Genomic DNA, 17,595 nt, shown 5'->3' with positions numbered 1-17,595 from the left:
GAAAGGAATTACCGGTGGGCATATTAACACAGGTATTTGAGGGTTTCAGGAAAAATAGCAAACATAAAGACAACTAAGTTGAAAATTGTTGCTGAGACTCCTGATGCATCAGAGTAAGACAAGAAAAAGCTGACAATAATTTAATTACTAATTTATGACAAATTATGGAAGCCTAAGGGCCCTCTTGGCAGCATATAAAGAGATGCTCATCTCCTATAGCCATAGGGAAGGAAACGCTGAGGTTCAGGCTCAAATCAATTATAATTGCAGTGGCGCCCCAGAGAAGGTTGAAACCCAACCCTGGAAAGCCTGTTAAACTAAATCCAGGACACTGATTGGAAAGGGGTAAGACCCTGCAATTTACATTTTCTTCTTAAATGCTAGGGGAAGCTTGTATGAATATGGCAGTGGCAAATGCCTGGGCTAGTTGGTTGGGAACCCACTGACATGTGAATGAACCTATGGGATTGGACACAGAGTGAGATCTGTGTATTGCAGATTAATTCTCAGCAAAAACCTTCCATCATGGAAGACACTAAACAACCAAATGGGCAAAAATTGTCCATTTGATGTAAGCCAGTTGATTTGATGCCAGTTGATATAAGCTAGCTTCAGTCATCCACCAACTATCCCTGTGCTGGCACAATGGCTAAATGAAGACAGCAGTCAAAATGGCAGGAATGGAAACTCTGCATGGGTCCACCAGCATGGGCTGCCACTCACTACTGCTATTCTTGCTACAGTTACTGGGGAATGTTTAATCTGCTGGCTACAGAGACCGATGCTGAACTCCCAAGATGGCACCATTACTCAAAGAGACCAACTAGCCACTTGGTAGCAAGCTGATGACATTGGGCCTCTTTCATTCTAGAAGGGACAGCAGTTTATGTTAAGTGAAGGTGACACATTCTGAGTATGGGTTTGTCCTTCTACACTGCAGGGTCTCAGCAGCATCAGTATATGGAGGGCTAATTCAGTATTTGGCCCACAAATACAGGATCTTCATCAAGGTTTTATTAAACCAAGAGCCCCATTTTACAGCAAAGGAGGCAAGGCAGTTGATCCATAGTCATAGTACCTATGCATCTTACACCACACCACCTAGAAAACACTGGCATAATAGAGCTATCGAAAAACCTTTTGAAGGCCCAGCAAATGGTTTGGAAATGACACCCACAAAAACGGGCACTGCGCTCCAAGACCTAGTACGCGCTCTAAATCCATTGCATGGTTATGTGTTCCAATAGGCAGAGTAAGTCTGAGAACTAAAAAACAGAAGGAACAAATTTACTTATCACTCCCAGGGAGATACGTGAGGAGTTTTTCCCTTCCATATTCACAAATAAATGCTCTTGGGCCTAAAAGTCCTGGTTCCCCGAGGAAGGATGCTTCTACCTGAGGATGCAGCAGAGACCCATTAAACTCTAAGCTCTGTTTGATCTTTCAGACATGGGTCTTTGTACTGCCAGCAGCCCAGGTCTATGTCCTGCTGACAGCTCACCTGTGATTTCTCCAGGAGTTGCTCTCAGCCCTCTAGATCTTGCTCTTGTCACATTATGCTCTGTCTCAAAGATAGCCTTTCCCAGCAACTAGTCAACGTGGGGGCGCAAAGGCCTATGTCTGAAAGATCACCCCAGCTTCAGAGCTGCCATCGAGTACCACGAGACCATGCAAATTGAGGACATGGTTCTGACAGTTACATATTTCAGTTAACATGTACTGTGCAAACAAAGCAAACGCTCTCTGTAACATATATGTATGTTTATAAATTTGGTTTTTTCTTAGCTTTAGGAAAATAATTTGCCACAGGACTCCTGTATTTAAGTGAGCTTTCATGCAAAAATTTTCATGAGTTATGTAAACATAAGGCAAGAATAATTTATTTCCTGGGAAGGAGTTTATATAGAGATCTTATTCTTCTCTATTTGTATCCAAGAAAGTCTTTTGCAATTACAAAAAGAAGAAAGAGGAGGAGAAAAAAGAAGAGGGAGAAAATCAAGATAAGGAGGAGAAGAAAGAGGAGGAGTATAATAAGAAGAATTTCAAGATTCTAAGTTTAGCAGCATATAAGAAGGCAGAATGACAATTACTAAAAAGTCAAGAAACAACAGATGCTGGTGAGGCTGTGGAGAGACAGGAACACCTTTACACTGTTGGTGGGATTGCAAATTAGTTCAACTATTGTGGAAGACAGTGTGGTGATTCCTCAAAGACCCAAACCAGAAATACTACTTGAGCCAGCAATCCCATTACTGGGTATATACCCAAAGGAACATAGATCATTCTATTATACAGATACATGCACGCATATGTTCACTGCAGCACTATTCACAAGAGCAAAGACATGGAATCAACCCAAATGCCCACCAACGATACACTGAATAAAGAAAATGTGGTACATACACACCATGGAATATTACAGAGCCATAAAGAGGGACGAGATCATGTCCTTTGCAGGAACATGGATGAAGCTGGAAACCATTATCCTCAGCAAACTAATGCAGGAAGAGAAAACCAAACATCACTTGTTCTTGCTTGTAAGTGGGAGCTGAACAATGAGAACACACAGACACGGGGAGGGGAACAACACACACTGGGGCCTGTCGGGTGTGGGGAAGGGGGAGGGAAAGCATCAGGAATAATAGCTAATACATGTGGGGCTTAATACCTAGGTGAGGGGTTGATAGGTACAGCAAACCACCATGGTACACACTTACCTATGTAACAAACCTGCATGTCCTGCACATGTACCCTGGAACTTAAAATAATTTTTTTTTAAAAGATGCCTATTCTCACTTGCTATTAACTTATCCCATTCAACAATCTGTCCCGGAAAACCCAGCAGTCCTTAGCTCTCTAACAATTTGCCCAAAATAGATAAATACTGAAATTATTGCCTGTGCCCAAACTCCTCCATCATCAACCTGTAACAGAGAGCTACATGGCTCTTGCCCCTGCCTGTTGGGTGCCTAAAGCATTATGTCCTACCTGGTTAAGGACTGCAAATGCAACATTGGCATTGGGTCCTGAGACATTCACAAAGACTCAGATGTAAGCATGGTTCAGCAAGCCTAGAGAAGGATTTTAGGGAGAACTGTAACAACACTGAAGTAAACTCTGAGTTTTGGTTTCCTCATCTGAGAGAACAGTTAGTTCTCCTAGACTTTCTGTCTGCTCCCTTCCAGAATGACTTTGCCAAGTTTCTGTGGTCCCCACAGACAGAGGAAGACTCGGGTGTTTGCATCTCCCGTTCAGAGGGCAGTAGCTCACCTTCCAGCTCTCCACTGTCAGTCAGCAGAACAGCCATGGCTTCTTTGTGCACCTTTCACATAGGCTGGGGAATATTACAATTTTCCAAGATTGACCCTAACTCCCTCCCCTTTCCTTAGCACAGTGCCATTTTCCACCTGGGAGAATTCTTTCCCTCACGTGGAACAACTCGCCTCGCCCTCTACGTCCTCTTTCTTTAGAGACTAGCTCCCTGGCCCTCATTATTTACCTCACTAAACTAAGAATGACATCAGAAATTGAAGAAATTAAGGTAACCATTTCTACTGTCAGAGTTCAGAAGCTGCTTGAAGCCAAATGTTCCGGAAGCATGTGAGGCCAGGGAAAAGTAATTTAGTTCTCACAACATTTTATCGGGGAGTCAAGTGGAGTCACCCCATGAAAGTAAGTCATCTGTTACACTTTTCCTCATTGAGCTGATCTCCTCAGTGAACACAGCCTTGCTCTGTAAGAGTGGTCCCCAAAGGGCCCATCTTAGAATCTCCTGGAAAGATTCTTAAAATGCAAATCCTGGGCCCCAACTTCTGAACCTCTGATTCAGTAATTAGGGGAAAACCTAAGGGTGTGCATATTTTTGTTTGTTTGTTTGTTTGTTTTGAGACAGAGTCTCACTCTGTCACCCAGGTTGGAGTGCAGTGGCGCAATTTCTGCCCACTGCAAGCTCCGCCTCCCGGGTTCACTCCATTCTCCTGCCTCAGCCTCCCAAGTAGCTGGGACTACAGGCGCCCGCCACCACGCCTGGCTAATTTTTTTTTGTATTTTTAGTAGAGACGGGATTTCACCATGTTAGCCAGGATGGCCTCGATCTCCTGACCTCGTGATCTGCCTGCCTTGGCCTCCCAAAGTGCTGGGATTACAGGCGTGAGCCACCACGCCCAGCCAAGGGTGTGCATTTCTAACAGGCTTCCAGGGAGTGCTGACCTGGCTGGCCCAGGACCCCCACTTTGCAAACCACTACTGTATACCACACTAAGTCCCTACCGTGATTGTAGGCACAACAGGTAGCCCCAAAATGGCTCCACCTTCAGTCTGCTTGGAATGGGAGTTCAGAAGAAGAGTATATCTGGATCATATTTAAGATCAGACATCACCTCTTAGAGATGCCGATTCAAATAGACCATGGTGGCAAAATCAATATGAAGAGAAATAAATGAGTACGGGGAAGAAAACTGTGGCCCTATGATATTGGCTTTCTGATCTCATCCCTGATCCACATCAAACCAATGAGCCAATTTCAAAGGGGACACTGATGGTGAGGGTGAAGAAAATCTCCAATTAGCACATCTGCAAACAGAGATTGTTGCCTGAATATTACTTTGGTTCAATAAGCTTATCAGCTGGACCCTGGAAGCCCAGCCAGTGAAAGGCTTGTAATTGTTTTTATCTACTCAGAAAACTAAATGCTGGTTCAGATGAGAATTCAATTGATTTTCAAACAGTGTTTACCTCCTTTCCCTGTCATCACACAGACAGCCAATTAATGACATGAAAGATTAATTAATGGAGAAGCTTGTGCACCGGCTGCCAAAGAGAGGATTAAATTTGGAGGTCTATGCTTTCTTCCCAGTCAGAGAGGAAAATATCCTTCAGTAATTAAAGGTTCAGTGGCAACTTTTGTCCTGGGTATTGAGACCATCCAAGTGAGGAGAAGAAAAGTTTTTTAAAAGCTGACTGGGGAGACGGAAGCTGGTAGCCAAGTCTCAGCCACCCAGTGGCACTAATCAGTGAATCCTGTGAGTCAGAGAGCAGCTCACCTTGCCAGGGATATGGGAGACATCACACAGACCCTAGGTGCACCTTCTCTCCACGTGGAGCTGAAGCAGGAAATGTAAAAAAAAAAAAAAAAAAAAAGAAAGAAAGAAAGATAAGTTCTCTGTGCTGGGCTAACTCGCTCCAAGGCCCAGTGATAAGCAGGGCTCCTGCGACAGAGCAGCAGCAACACAACTGGCTCTCCATCCCTAAGCTCCTATTCCCTCCAAAATTCTCTTAATCCACTTGTTCTTCTAAAATAAATCAATCAATAAATAAAGGTTGGCATCAAAAGTAAGATTCAATCATCTTAAAAATGCAAATTAAACAGAAAGTTTAACTGAGATTGGGAGAAAGGTGTAATCTCACCAGAACACCCTAGACTACTGCAGATAGCTTACACCAGACAGCATTTCACAGTTCACAATGTGTTCTTTCATTTGCTTTCTCTCCCATGAAACACTTCCAGTGGCCTTGAGAAGTGGGCTTCATTGGAAACTGAGGCTAGGAGAGATAAACAACTCTTGCTAATTTTTCTTGCTAAAGAATGGAGAGCTGGGCTTTAAAAGACAGACATGCGGCATCTAAGATCTTTAATTTTCATAGTGCTTCAAAGGTTCTACATATTCGTGGTCATTTAAGGTAAAATATACTTACAGGAATTAATAACAATTTGATAAGTGATGGTAAATTGAGCATTTTGAATCAGCTGGTAGGAAAACTTTATTACCATTCAAAATCACCAATGCCAAATCTACTCTCAATCCTATCTATAGGCAATGAGGCTAAGGTTGAGTGCGGTCATGAATGAGACAGGATGCCTACCAGGGAGCATAACTCATCAATTCAATCCATTCAGCAAACGTTAATTGGGCTCTTTGTCTACACCTTGCACTGTGCTCAGCACTAGGGATAGAAGAGTTACAAAAAATACCCAGACCTCTGACCTCAGCAAGTTACAGACTAGTGAGGATGATCTACTCTAATCAATAGTCATACAGCCTGTGGCACCACTAACAAGTGTACAGAGGAGGGGTGCTTGCAACCACAAGCACCAACAACAGAAATACTTTACTGTTTTTAGGTGGGCCAAGAAAAGGTTCTTAAGATTCTTGACTCTTAAACTAAAAAGAGGAGGATGAAAAATTAATTGGGAAAAGATGAGAAGGGACAAAGTTCTAGGTAGAGAGGACAGATGTGTAAATATCCAGTGGCAGAAATTCAGAAGGCAAGTGGTAGAAGGAAAGGTAGAGAGTACAAGGAGCTGAAAGGAAGCCAGTGTCTGCAGAGAAGAGAGAGTTTGGCACCAAACCATGTCAGTCCTGTGAGCCACAACCTTTTAAGCAAGGAGAAATTAGTGAACATTTTAAGCAAGAGACTGGGAAATAAGGAATGGTTAGTCAATATTTTGTTGCAAGACAACCTCAAAATCTCAGTGACTTAAAACTGAAAACTTAATTTTCATGCTCACATGCCTACAGGTTGGTTGCAGTTCAGCTGACTTAGGCTGAACCAGTTGGTTTCGAATCAGCTTTAGTGTTTTTATTTTGGGTCCAGAGTGGAGAGGTAGGCAGGCTTTCCTCACGGCATTTCATAAGAGTGGAAAAGGCAAGCAAACCACACAAGCATGGTGAATCGACATGCAGAGGCACACTAGTGTGACACGAACCCCAGCAAGATACATGGAGGAAATCAACATCAATGGAGCCGGTAAATGAGCTAACTCTAGCGGAAGTTCCTACAAAGCTCCAGGGCCAAGGATGTGGCTGTGTAATTCTGTAACAGGAAGGAAGTGAAAAATGGCCATGATGATGTAATGTACCATAAATGAAGAACGTGATCAATGTACAATTCAAAAAGCTCCACTCTGTCAATAGGATAAACTATTAGAGGGATCCAGGGTGGGTATCTCTGGGAAAGAGTCCAGAGATGGAAGCATCAAAGTTTACCTCAAGGGTGCTGAAATATGCAACTGAATAGCTGCGGGCTTCTGTAATTTATAATACAGAGGGAATAAGCGCCTTGCTGTGTGACCCAGAGAGGTGAGTCATGAAAATCTCACACCAAGAGGGCCTATGGAATGACATAACTTCCAACTCTACAATATGCAACTTACCAACTAAACAATACTGTAAAATAAAGGCTACAGCTCATGCATCAGGGAAGTGACCATGTGACACAGCTGCAACCCAGGACAATTTCAAGGGTGATAGGAAACAAATAGGAACACGTGGTCACCTCATGATTAGCAAAATGCTTCACAAACAAATCCCCATGGTTATTTCAAAAACTTTAGATTTTTGCTATTCTGAGTATTGCTATCATGGGTAGCTTGGAGACTCATGATGCTGTACAGCTGACCGTTGAACCACATGAGTTTGAACTGGATGAGTCCACTTATGTGTGGGTTTTTTCAATAGCTATATTGAAAAATATTTTGTAGGTTTGTGACAATTTTAAAAAATTCAGATTCATTGCACAGCCTAGAAATATCAAAAAAGTAAGAAAAAGTTAGATATGTCATGAATGAATGAAATACAGGTAGACACTAGCCTATTTTATCTAAAGCTGGAGACTCTGATGCCAGGAAAGGATGGTTTGATAATTTCAGAAAGACATTTGCCTTTAAAAAAAATGTCAAGATAAGCTTCTGCCAACCAAGAGTCATTAGATGAGTTTCTAGATGTCATTAAGAAAATCACTGAGGTGAAATGATATCTGCCTGAACAGGTTTTTAATGCACATCAAGGTACCCTATCTGGAAAAAACAAAATGCCACAATGGATACTTAACAGGAAGAGAAACAAATTCCAGGATTTAAGGCAGGAAAGGATAGGCTCTCTACTGTTTTGTGAAAACGCAATAGGGTTGATGATCAGGACTGCCATTATCTCTTATATAAAGTGCTAACCCCTGAGCACTGAAGAAGAAAGATAAACAACAGCTGCCCATCTTTTGGTTGTACAATAAGAAGGACTGGACAATTAGAATCCTTTTTCTGGATTGGTTCCATTGATGCTTTGTCTCTGAAGTCAGGAAGTACCTTGGCAGTAAGAGATTGCCTTTTTCAATATTAACTTTAAATGTAAATGGACTAAATGCTCCAATTAAAAGACACAGACTGGCAAATTGGATAAAGAGTCAAGACCCATCAGTGTGCTGTATTCAGGAAACCCATCTCACATGCAGAGACACACATAGGCTCAAAATAAAAGGATGGAGGAAGATCTACCAAGCAAATGGAAAACAAAAAAAGGCAGGGGTTGCAATCCTAGTCTCTGATAAAACAGACTTTAAACCAACAAAGATCAAAAGAGACAAAGAAGGCCATTACATAATGGTAAGGGATCAATGCAACAAGAAGAGCTAACTATCCTAAATATATATGCACCCAATACAGGAGCACCCAGATTCATAAAGCAAGTCCTGAGGGACCTACAAAAAGACTTAGACTCCCACACAATAATAATGGGAGACTTTAACACCCCACTGTCAACATTAGACAGATCAACGAGACAGAAAGTTAACAAGGATACCCAGGAATTGAACTCAGCTCTGCACCGAGCGGACCTAATAGACATCTACAGAACTCTCCACCCCAAATCAACAGAATATACATTTTCTTCAGCACCATACCACACCTATTCCAAAATTGACCACATAGTTGGAAGTAAAGCTCTCCTCAGCAAATGTAAAAGATCAGACATTATAACAAACTGTCTCTCAGACCACAGTGCAATCAAACTAGAACTCAGGATTAAGAATCTCACTCAAAACTGCTCAACTACATGGAAACTAAACAAGCTGCTCCTGAATGACTACTGGGTACATAACGAAATGAAGGCAGAAATAAAGATGTTCTTTGAAACCAACGAGAACAAAGACACAACATACCAGAATCTCTGGGACACACTCAAAGCAGTGTGTAGAGGGAAATTTGTAGCACTAAATGCCCACAAGAGAAAGCAGGAAAGATCCAAAATTGACACCCTAACATCACAATTAAAAGAACCAGAAAAGCAAGAGCAAACACATTCAAAAGCTAGCAGAAGGCAAGAAATAACTAAAATCAGAGCAGAACTGAAGGAAATAGAGACACAAAAAACCCTTCAAAAAATTAATGAATCCAGGAACTGGTTTTTTGAAAGGATCAACAAAATTGATAGACCACTAGCAAGACTAATAAAGAAGAAAAGAGAGAAGAATCAAATAGACGAAATAAAAAATGATAAAGGGGATATCACCACCAATCCCACAGAAATACAAACTACCGACAGAGAATACTACAAACACCTCTACACAAATAAACTAGAAAATCTAGAAGAAATGGATAAATTCCTTGACACATACACCCTCCCAAGACTAAACCAGGAAGAAGTTGAATCTCTGAATAGACCAGTAACAGGCTCTGAAATTGTGGCAATAATCAATAGCTTACCAACCAAAAAGAGTCCAGGACCAGATGGATTCACAGCCGAATTCTACCAGAGGTACAAGGAAGAACCGGTACCATTCCTTCTGAAACTATTCCAATCAATAGAAAAAGAGGGAATCCTCCCTAACTCATTTTATGAGGCCAGCATCATCCTGATACCAAAGCCGGGCAGAGACACAACCAAAAAAGAGAATTTTAGACCAATATCCTTGATGAACATTGATGCAAAAATCCTCAATAAAATACTGGCAAACCGAATCCAGCAGCACCTCAAAAAGCTTATCCACCATGATTAAGTGGGCTTCATCCCTGGGATGCAAGGCTGGTTCAATATATGAAAATCAATAAATGTAATCCAGCATATAAACAGAACCAAAGACAGAAACCACATGATTATCTCAATAGATGCAGAAAAGGCCTTTGACAAAATTCAACAACGCTTCATGCTAAAAACTCTCAATAAATTAGGTATTGATGGGATGTATCTCAAAATAATAAGAGCTATTTATGACAAACCCACAGCCAATATCATACTGAATGGGCAAAAACTGGAAGCATTCCCTTTGAAAACTGGCACAAGACAGGGATGCCCTCTCTCACCACTCCTATTCAACATAGTGTTGGAAGTTCTGGCCAGGGCAATTAGGCAGGAGAAGGAAATAAAGGTTATTCAATTAGGAAAAGAGGAAACCAAATTGTCCCTGTTTACAGACGACATGATTGTATATCTAGAAAACCCCATTGTCTCAGCCCAAAATCTCCTTAAGCTGACAAGCAACTTCAGCAAAGTCTCAGGATACAAAATCAATGTACAAAAATCACACGCATTCTTATACACCAATAACAGACAAACAGAGAGCCAAATCATGAGTGAACTCCCATTCACAATTGCTACAAAGAGAATAAAATATCTAGGAATCCAACTTACAAGGGACATGAAGGACTTCTTCAAGGAGAACTACAAACCACTGCTCAATGAAATAAAAGAGGATACAAACAAATGGAAGAACATTCCATGCTCATGGGTAGGAAGAATCAATATCATGAAAATGGCCATACTGCCCAAGGTAATTTATAGATTCAATGCCATCCCCATCAAGCTACCAATGACTTTCTTCACAGAATTGGAAAATACTACTTTAAAGTTCAGATGGAACCAAAAAAGAGCCCGCATCGCCAAGTCGATCCTAAGCCAAAAGAATAAAGCTGGAGGCATCACGCTACCTAACTTCAAACTATACTACAAGGCTACAGTAACCAAAACAGCATGGTACTGGTACCAAAACAGAGATATAGACCAATGGAACAGAACAGAGCACTCAGAAATAACACCGCATATCTACAACTACCTGATCTTTGACAAACCTGACAAAAACAAGCAATGGGGAAAGGATTCCCTATTTCATAAATGGTGCTGGGAAAACTGACTAGCCATATGTAGAAAGCTGAAACTGGATCCATTCCTTACACCTTATACAAAAATTAATTCAAGATGGATTAAAGACTTAAACATTAGACCTAAAACCATAAAAACCCTAGAAGAAAACCTAGGCATTACCATTCAGGACATAGGCATGGGCAAGGACTTCGTGTCCAAAACACCAAAAGCAATGGCAACAAAAGACAACATTGACAAATGGGATCTAATTAAACTAAAGAGCTTCTGCACAGCAAAAGAAACTACCATCAGAGTGAACAGGCAACCTACAACATGGGAGAAAATTTTTGCAACCTACTCATCTGACAAAGGGCTAATATCCAGAATCTACAATGAACTCAAACAAATTTACAAGAAAAAAACAAACAACCCCATCAAAAAGTGGGCGAAGGACATGAACAGACACTTCTCAAAAGAAGACATTTATGCAGCCAAAAAACACATGAAAAAATGCTCACCATCACTGGCTATCAGAGAAATCCAAATCAAAACCACAATGAGATACCATCTCACACCAGTTAGAATGGCAATCATTAAAAAGTCAGGAAACAACAGGTGCTGGAGAGGATGTGGAGAAATAGGAACACTTTTACACTGTTGGTGGGACTGTAAACTAGTTCAACCATTGTGGAAGTCAGTGTGGCGATTCCTCAGGGATCTAGAACTAGAAATACCATTGGACCCAGCCATCCCATTACTGGTTATATACCCAAAGGACTATAAATCATGCTGCTATAAAGACACATGCACACGTATGTTTACTGCGGCTCTATTCACAATAGCAAAGACTTGGAACCAACCCAAATGTCCAACAATGATAGACTGGATTAAGAAAATGTGGCACGCATACACCATGGAATACTATGCAGCCATAAAAAATGATGAGTTCATGTCCTTTGTAGGGATATGGATGAAGCTGGAAACCATCATTCTCAGTAAACTATCCCAAGAACAAAAAACCAAACACCGCATATTCTCACTCATAGGTGGGAATTGAACAATGAGAACACATGGACACAGGGAGGGGAACATCACACTCTGGGGACTGTTGTGGGGTGGGGGGAGGGGGGAGGGATAGCTTTAGGAAATATACGTAATGCTAAATGACAAGTTAATGGGTGCAGCACACCAGCATGGCACATGTGTACATATGTAACTAACCTGCACATTGTACACATGCACCCTAAAACTTAAAGTATAATAATAAAAAAATAAAAAATAAATAAATAAATAAATAAAGTTCTTTTGATATTGGACAATACCCCTGGCCACTCAGCACCTCATGAGTTCAACACTGAAAGCGTTGAAGTGGTATACTTGGTCCCAAACACAATGTATCTAATTCAGCCTCTATATCAGGGGACCATAAAGACTTTTAAGGTTTATAACATATGAAACTCTGTGGAAAAGATTGTCAATACTATGAAAAAGAACTCTGATAGAGAGAACATCATGGAAGTCTGAAATGATTGCACCATTGAAGTTGACATTGTTGTTTTAGAAAATCATGAAAGTCATCAGGCCCAAAACTATAAATTCCTGCTAGAGAAATGTATTTTCCAGATGTTGTACATGACCTCACAGGATTTATGACAAAGCCAATCAAGAAAATCATGAAAGAGATTGTGGCTACGACAAAAAAGGTGGGGAGTGAAGAGTTTCAAGATACAGATCTTGGAGAAATTTAAGAGCTAACAGACACCAAACCAGAGGAATTTACAGAAGAGGACTTGAGAGAGTTAACTGCTTCAGAACCAGTGCCAGACGATGAGGAGGAAGACGTAGAAGAAGCAGTGCCGGAAAACACATTGACATTAGACAATCTGGCAGAAGGGTACTAATTATTCAATACTGCTTTTGGTTTCTTTTACTACATGAACGCTTCAACGATACAGGGACTATAACTGCAGCAAACTGTGGAAGAATTGGTATCATATAGAAACATTTTCAGAGATATGAAAAAGCAAAAAAGTCAGACAGAAATTGCTACATATTTCTTTTTTTTTTCTTCTGTTTCTTCAATCATTATTCCTTTTTTTTTATTATACTTTAAGTTTCAGGGTACATGTGCACATTGTGCAGGTTAGTTACATATGTATACATGTGCCATGCTGGTGCGCTGCACCCACTAACTCGTCATCTAGCATTAGGTATACCTCCCAATGCTATCCCTCCCCACTCCCCCCACCCCACAACAGTCCCCAGAGTGTGATGTTCCCCTTCCTGTGTCCATGTGATCTCATTGTTCAATTCCCACCTATGAGTGAGAATATGCGGTGTTTGGTTTTTTAGTCAGGAAAAAAAGTCATTAAAAAGCTACATATTTCTTTAAAGTATGTCAGGCATGCTTGCCTCTCCTGTGTCCCCTTCTGTTTTTTGTTTTTGTTTTTGTTTTTGTTTTTGTTTTTAAGACAGAGTCTCACTCTGTCACCCAGGCTGGAGTGCAGTGGCGCAATCTCGGCTCACTGCAACCTCCACCTCCCAGGTTCAAGCAATTCTCTGCCTCAGCCTCCCAAGTAGCTGGGATTACAGGCACCCACTACGACGCCCAGATAATTTTTGTATTTTTAGTAGAGATGGAGTTTCACCATCTTGGCTAGCCTGGTCTTGAACTCCTGACCTTGTAATCCACCCGCTTCAGCCTCCCAATCCTGTGTCCCCTTCTACCTCCTCTCCTACTTCTGCCTCTCCTGAGATAAAACCAACCATTCCTCTTCCTCCCCCTCAGCCTACTCAACATGAAGATGATAGGGATAAAGACCTTTATGATGATCCACTTCCGCTTAGTAAATAGTAAATATATTTTCTATTCCTTATGATTTTCTTAACATTTTCATTTCTTTGGCTTCCTTTATTGTAAAAATACAGTATACAATACATATAACATACAAAATATGTGTCAATCGACTGTTTAGGTTATCAGGAAGGCTTTCACTCAACAGTAGGCTATTAGTAATTAAGTTTTTGGAGAGTCAAAAGTTAGACACATATTTTTGGCTGCATAGGGGATCAGTGCCTTAACCCCCACATTGTAAAAGGGTCAACTGTACCGGAAATGTATGATGTGTTTAGGCAACACAAACTTCCTACATGTTTTTGCCCAGAAAAGATTCGTCAATGAATTTTTTTTTTTTTTTTTTTTTTTAGTTCTTGGAAGAGCTATATAATTTTAAGGGAAAAAGAAACTAACTCCAGTTGAAGTACTGAAGAAAAATTTCTGGAGAAGGTGACATTTGAATTGAACTATGAACAGCCAGTAGACAACATAAAGAAAAAGAGCATTTTGAGGTCCAGGGAAGTACGTGAACAAATAATAAACCAAGACAATATTATGGAGGTAGGAAATGGCATATCGTGCTTGGGAAACAGTAAGTAGTCTTGACTCTAATGGCAATTTCTATGTGTTTTCTTCAATTTAATTTTTTTCCTCTCAAGGAATAAATGAATGCAGATTTCACAGAAAGTTTATTTATGTACCATGTTATCTTATTTAGCAATGGCAATTTTCCGAAGAAGGTAAATATTTATGAAGTTGTAGTTCACTGTAGATAAAAGACAAAACTTGTTCTAAGAAACATTCAGTGTAAGAATTATAGTGGTGATTTAAAAAACCATTGGCTGCAATGCTTGATAACATTCGATGTAATTATCAAAAAGGTTACTGAGTCAGCAGAAGACACTGCGAATCAGTAAAAGCCTAGAATTGGAAATGGCTCGGAACTGATAAATACAGTTCAGGGAATAGAAGAAAAAGTAAACATCTCCATGCAAATCAACAGATAACAGTGCCTTTCTTATACAGTTAAATGTGAAAGTTGCCATATTTAATTCTCCAGTTGAGTTCATTATGCAGAAAAGTAGTTAATGTGACAAGTAGCCTGGGTTTCCAAGCCTGTGTGATTGCCTGATGCTAAGAAAATATCTCAGGGATACTGACATCACAGGAGTAAAGGACTTAACGAGAATCTTGCAACACCCACTCGATGTATATTGAATGAATGCAGAAATTAGTGAATCTAAAAACACAGTGCTTGAAGGAGACAGAAGTGTATGTATTAGGCTCTGAGAAGAAGAAACAGTTGAGGTTATTAGTGTAAAGATATGAGAATTGAAATAATTCAGTTCATGCAATAACAACATAACAATAAGGACCACCTACAATTCATTCATTCTGTAAATTTTTGTTGAATACTTACTACATAACCAGAGACTCTAAAAGTAAATAAATTTTCTGCCCTCTGGGAGGAAGATAATAAACATGCATAAATCAATTTCCGTAGTGATAAATACTATGAATAAAAATAAAGCAGGGTAGGAGAGCAATAGTCATGCTAGTTTAGACGAGGAAAAGTTTCTCTTACATTTGAATCATTACTCAGTTTACGATGCACTTCCATAGACTTGGTTATTTCACTTAACCTTTAAAACAGAATGTAATTTAGATCCTGTTTATACTTTTAAAAATGAGAAGACCTAGAGAAGTTTACAGAATCGCCCAGTGTGAGTGCTTTACAAATACCATCTCATACAGTCTTCACATGATGTTTCAGCAGGCTTCTTCTCTTAAAAATTCCTGCCTTAGGTTTGAAGTTGTTGTTAAAATTATAAAGTTACAAGTTATTGTAAATACAAAATTATAATTTTATAGATAATATACATTATATTATATATTAGATTTTGTCTTTATAATGTAAATTATATATTATATAATATGTAATTTAATTTTAAAAGCATAAGTTATTATACAAATTCCTGCTATACATTTGAAGGTTAAAAGTCAGTAAATGGCAGAGTCAGACACAGTGTGGTGATGCCAAAACCTTGCCCATCCTGCTGCATAGGAGCTTCTTGGCTTCTTCATCTTGGGCCAGGACATTTAAAAAATCTCTAAGTTGCCTCTCCCTTCGCAGAGTAGGGAAGGGTAGTGGCTGAGGAGTTAAGTGGAGAAGCACTGTATATCTGTAAATTATTTATAACGTGGTACTCAAATTATTGTCATGTTCTTCCTTTGTTGAAAACACTGGAAGTTCACTGAAAAGAAAACTGGGAGAGATTCCAAATTTCCCCCAATACTACAAATTTTAACATTTACTCCAGCCTGATTTCTATAACACAAATAGATTTTTGTGTACTGATTTCTGTAGTATCAGTGTCTCTTTTCTAATTGCCATCATGGATTCTTTACATATACATTTTTCATTGAATAACTTTCCATTTCTACCTTTCTATGGGAAGGAGCAATCGTGTGAGGGGAAGAAAGGGAGAGAGAAAAAAACAAAATGATCCTACTACTCAAACGAGTTGACACTCCAAAATTACAAAACATATAAAATATACAAGAAAATATATTTAACAGAAACAACTAATGGAATACGAACAAATTCAAAGTTAAATGCTCTACCAAAGAGTTTAAAATAAGTATTTTAATCTGATCAAAGAGAAAAATGAAGGGATAATATCCAAAAAAAACCCCAGAAATTATTAAACAAAGACAATCACATAGAAATAATTAGAACTCTTTGAACTAGAAACTATAGTAATCAAACTAAAAAACAAAACTCCATAGGCAAGATAATGGCTATAATCAACACAATTGTGTTTAAATAAAAGCCTGTACTTTTGTTTCTACTCCGCAGTTTTGAACAAAAATGCCTCTGAAAATTGTTAAATCTATAATTCAAAATGAACCATTGTTTATTCTTCAACATCCTCAAATTGATAAGAGACAACCTTCCAGGAGAGTAAGAAACATATATGAAGTGACAATGCAAAGAGAAAACCCAAATCATCAGTAAATATATGAAAACTTGCTAAATCTCATTCTTCAACAAGGAAATGCAATTTAAAATAATAGGGTTTCATTTCACAGACATGAGATCAGAAAAATTTAAAGCATCTAACAGAAACAGTCATTGGTGAGGATGTGACTAGGGGAAGTCCCATACTATACTGATGAGCATAAATTGGTACATCTAATTTGGAGAGTAATTTGCAATATCTATAAAAGTTGAAGGTACAAATATACTTCAGCCTGCCATTTTTCTTTCTAGATCACCACCTTTGAAAGAGCTCATACATAAGGAGATGCATATGATAATTTTTGGTACAGCATTGTCTGTAATAGTCAAACATAGTTAAAACACACTAATTGTTTATTAAGAATAGAAAAGCTGGCCAGGTGCAATAGCTCACGCCTAAAATCCCAGCACTTTGGGAGACTGAGGCGGGTGGATCACCTGAGGTCAGGAGTTCGAGAAAAGTCTGGCCAACATGGTGAAACGCTGTCTCTACTAAAAATACAAAAATTAGCCAGGTGTGGTGGTGGGCACCTATAATCCCAGCTACTTGGGAGGCTGAAGCACGAGAATTGCTTGAACCTGGGAGGCAGAGGTTGAAGTGAGCCAAGATTGTGCCACTGCACTCTAGCCTGGATGACACAGTGAGACTCCATCTCAAAAAAAAAAAAAAAAGAAAAGAAAAGAGAGAAAAGCTAAAGAGACAATAAGTGCTATATTCATTTACTGCAGTATATATGAGTTAAAATTTAAATGAATGAAAAAGAGCATCTATCAACATAGTTATATCTCAAATGATTATGTTGACATAAAATAGCAAGTCAAAAAAGATATTACATGCATAATACCACATTACAAACTTTAAATCATATAAAACAATATGATATTTG

General features: G+C 39.4%; 1 long non-coding RNA gene across 1 annotated transcript in view; it reads right to left on the bottom strand.

Annotated features, from left to right (window-relative positions):
• LOC107983974 (uncharacterized) overlaps positions 1 to 17,595 on the bottom strand; it is a 207,567-nt gene that overhangs the window by 121,666 nt on the left and 68,306 nt on the right. The gene's annotated exons all lie outside the window — the stretch shown is intronic.

This window comes from Homo sapiens, chromosome 15 (genome assembly GCF_000001405.40).
Source record: "Homo sapiens chromosome 15, GRCh38.p14 Primary Assembly".
NCBI lineage: Eukaryota > Metazoa > Chordata > Mammalia > Primates > Hominidae > Homo > Homo sapiens.
Note: the sequence above shows the minus strand (reverse complement) of the source record. Positions and strands in the feature narration are given on the sequence as shown.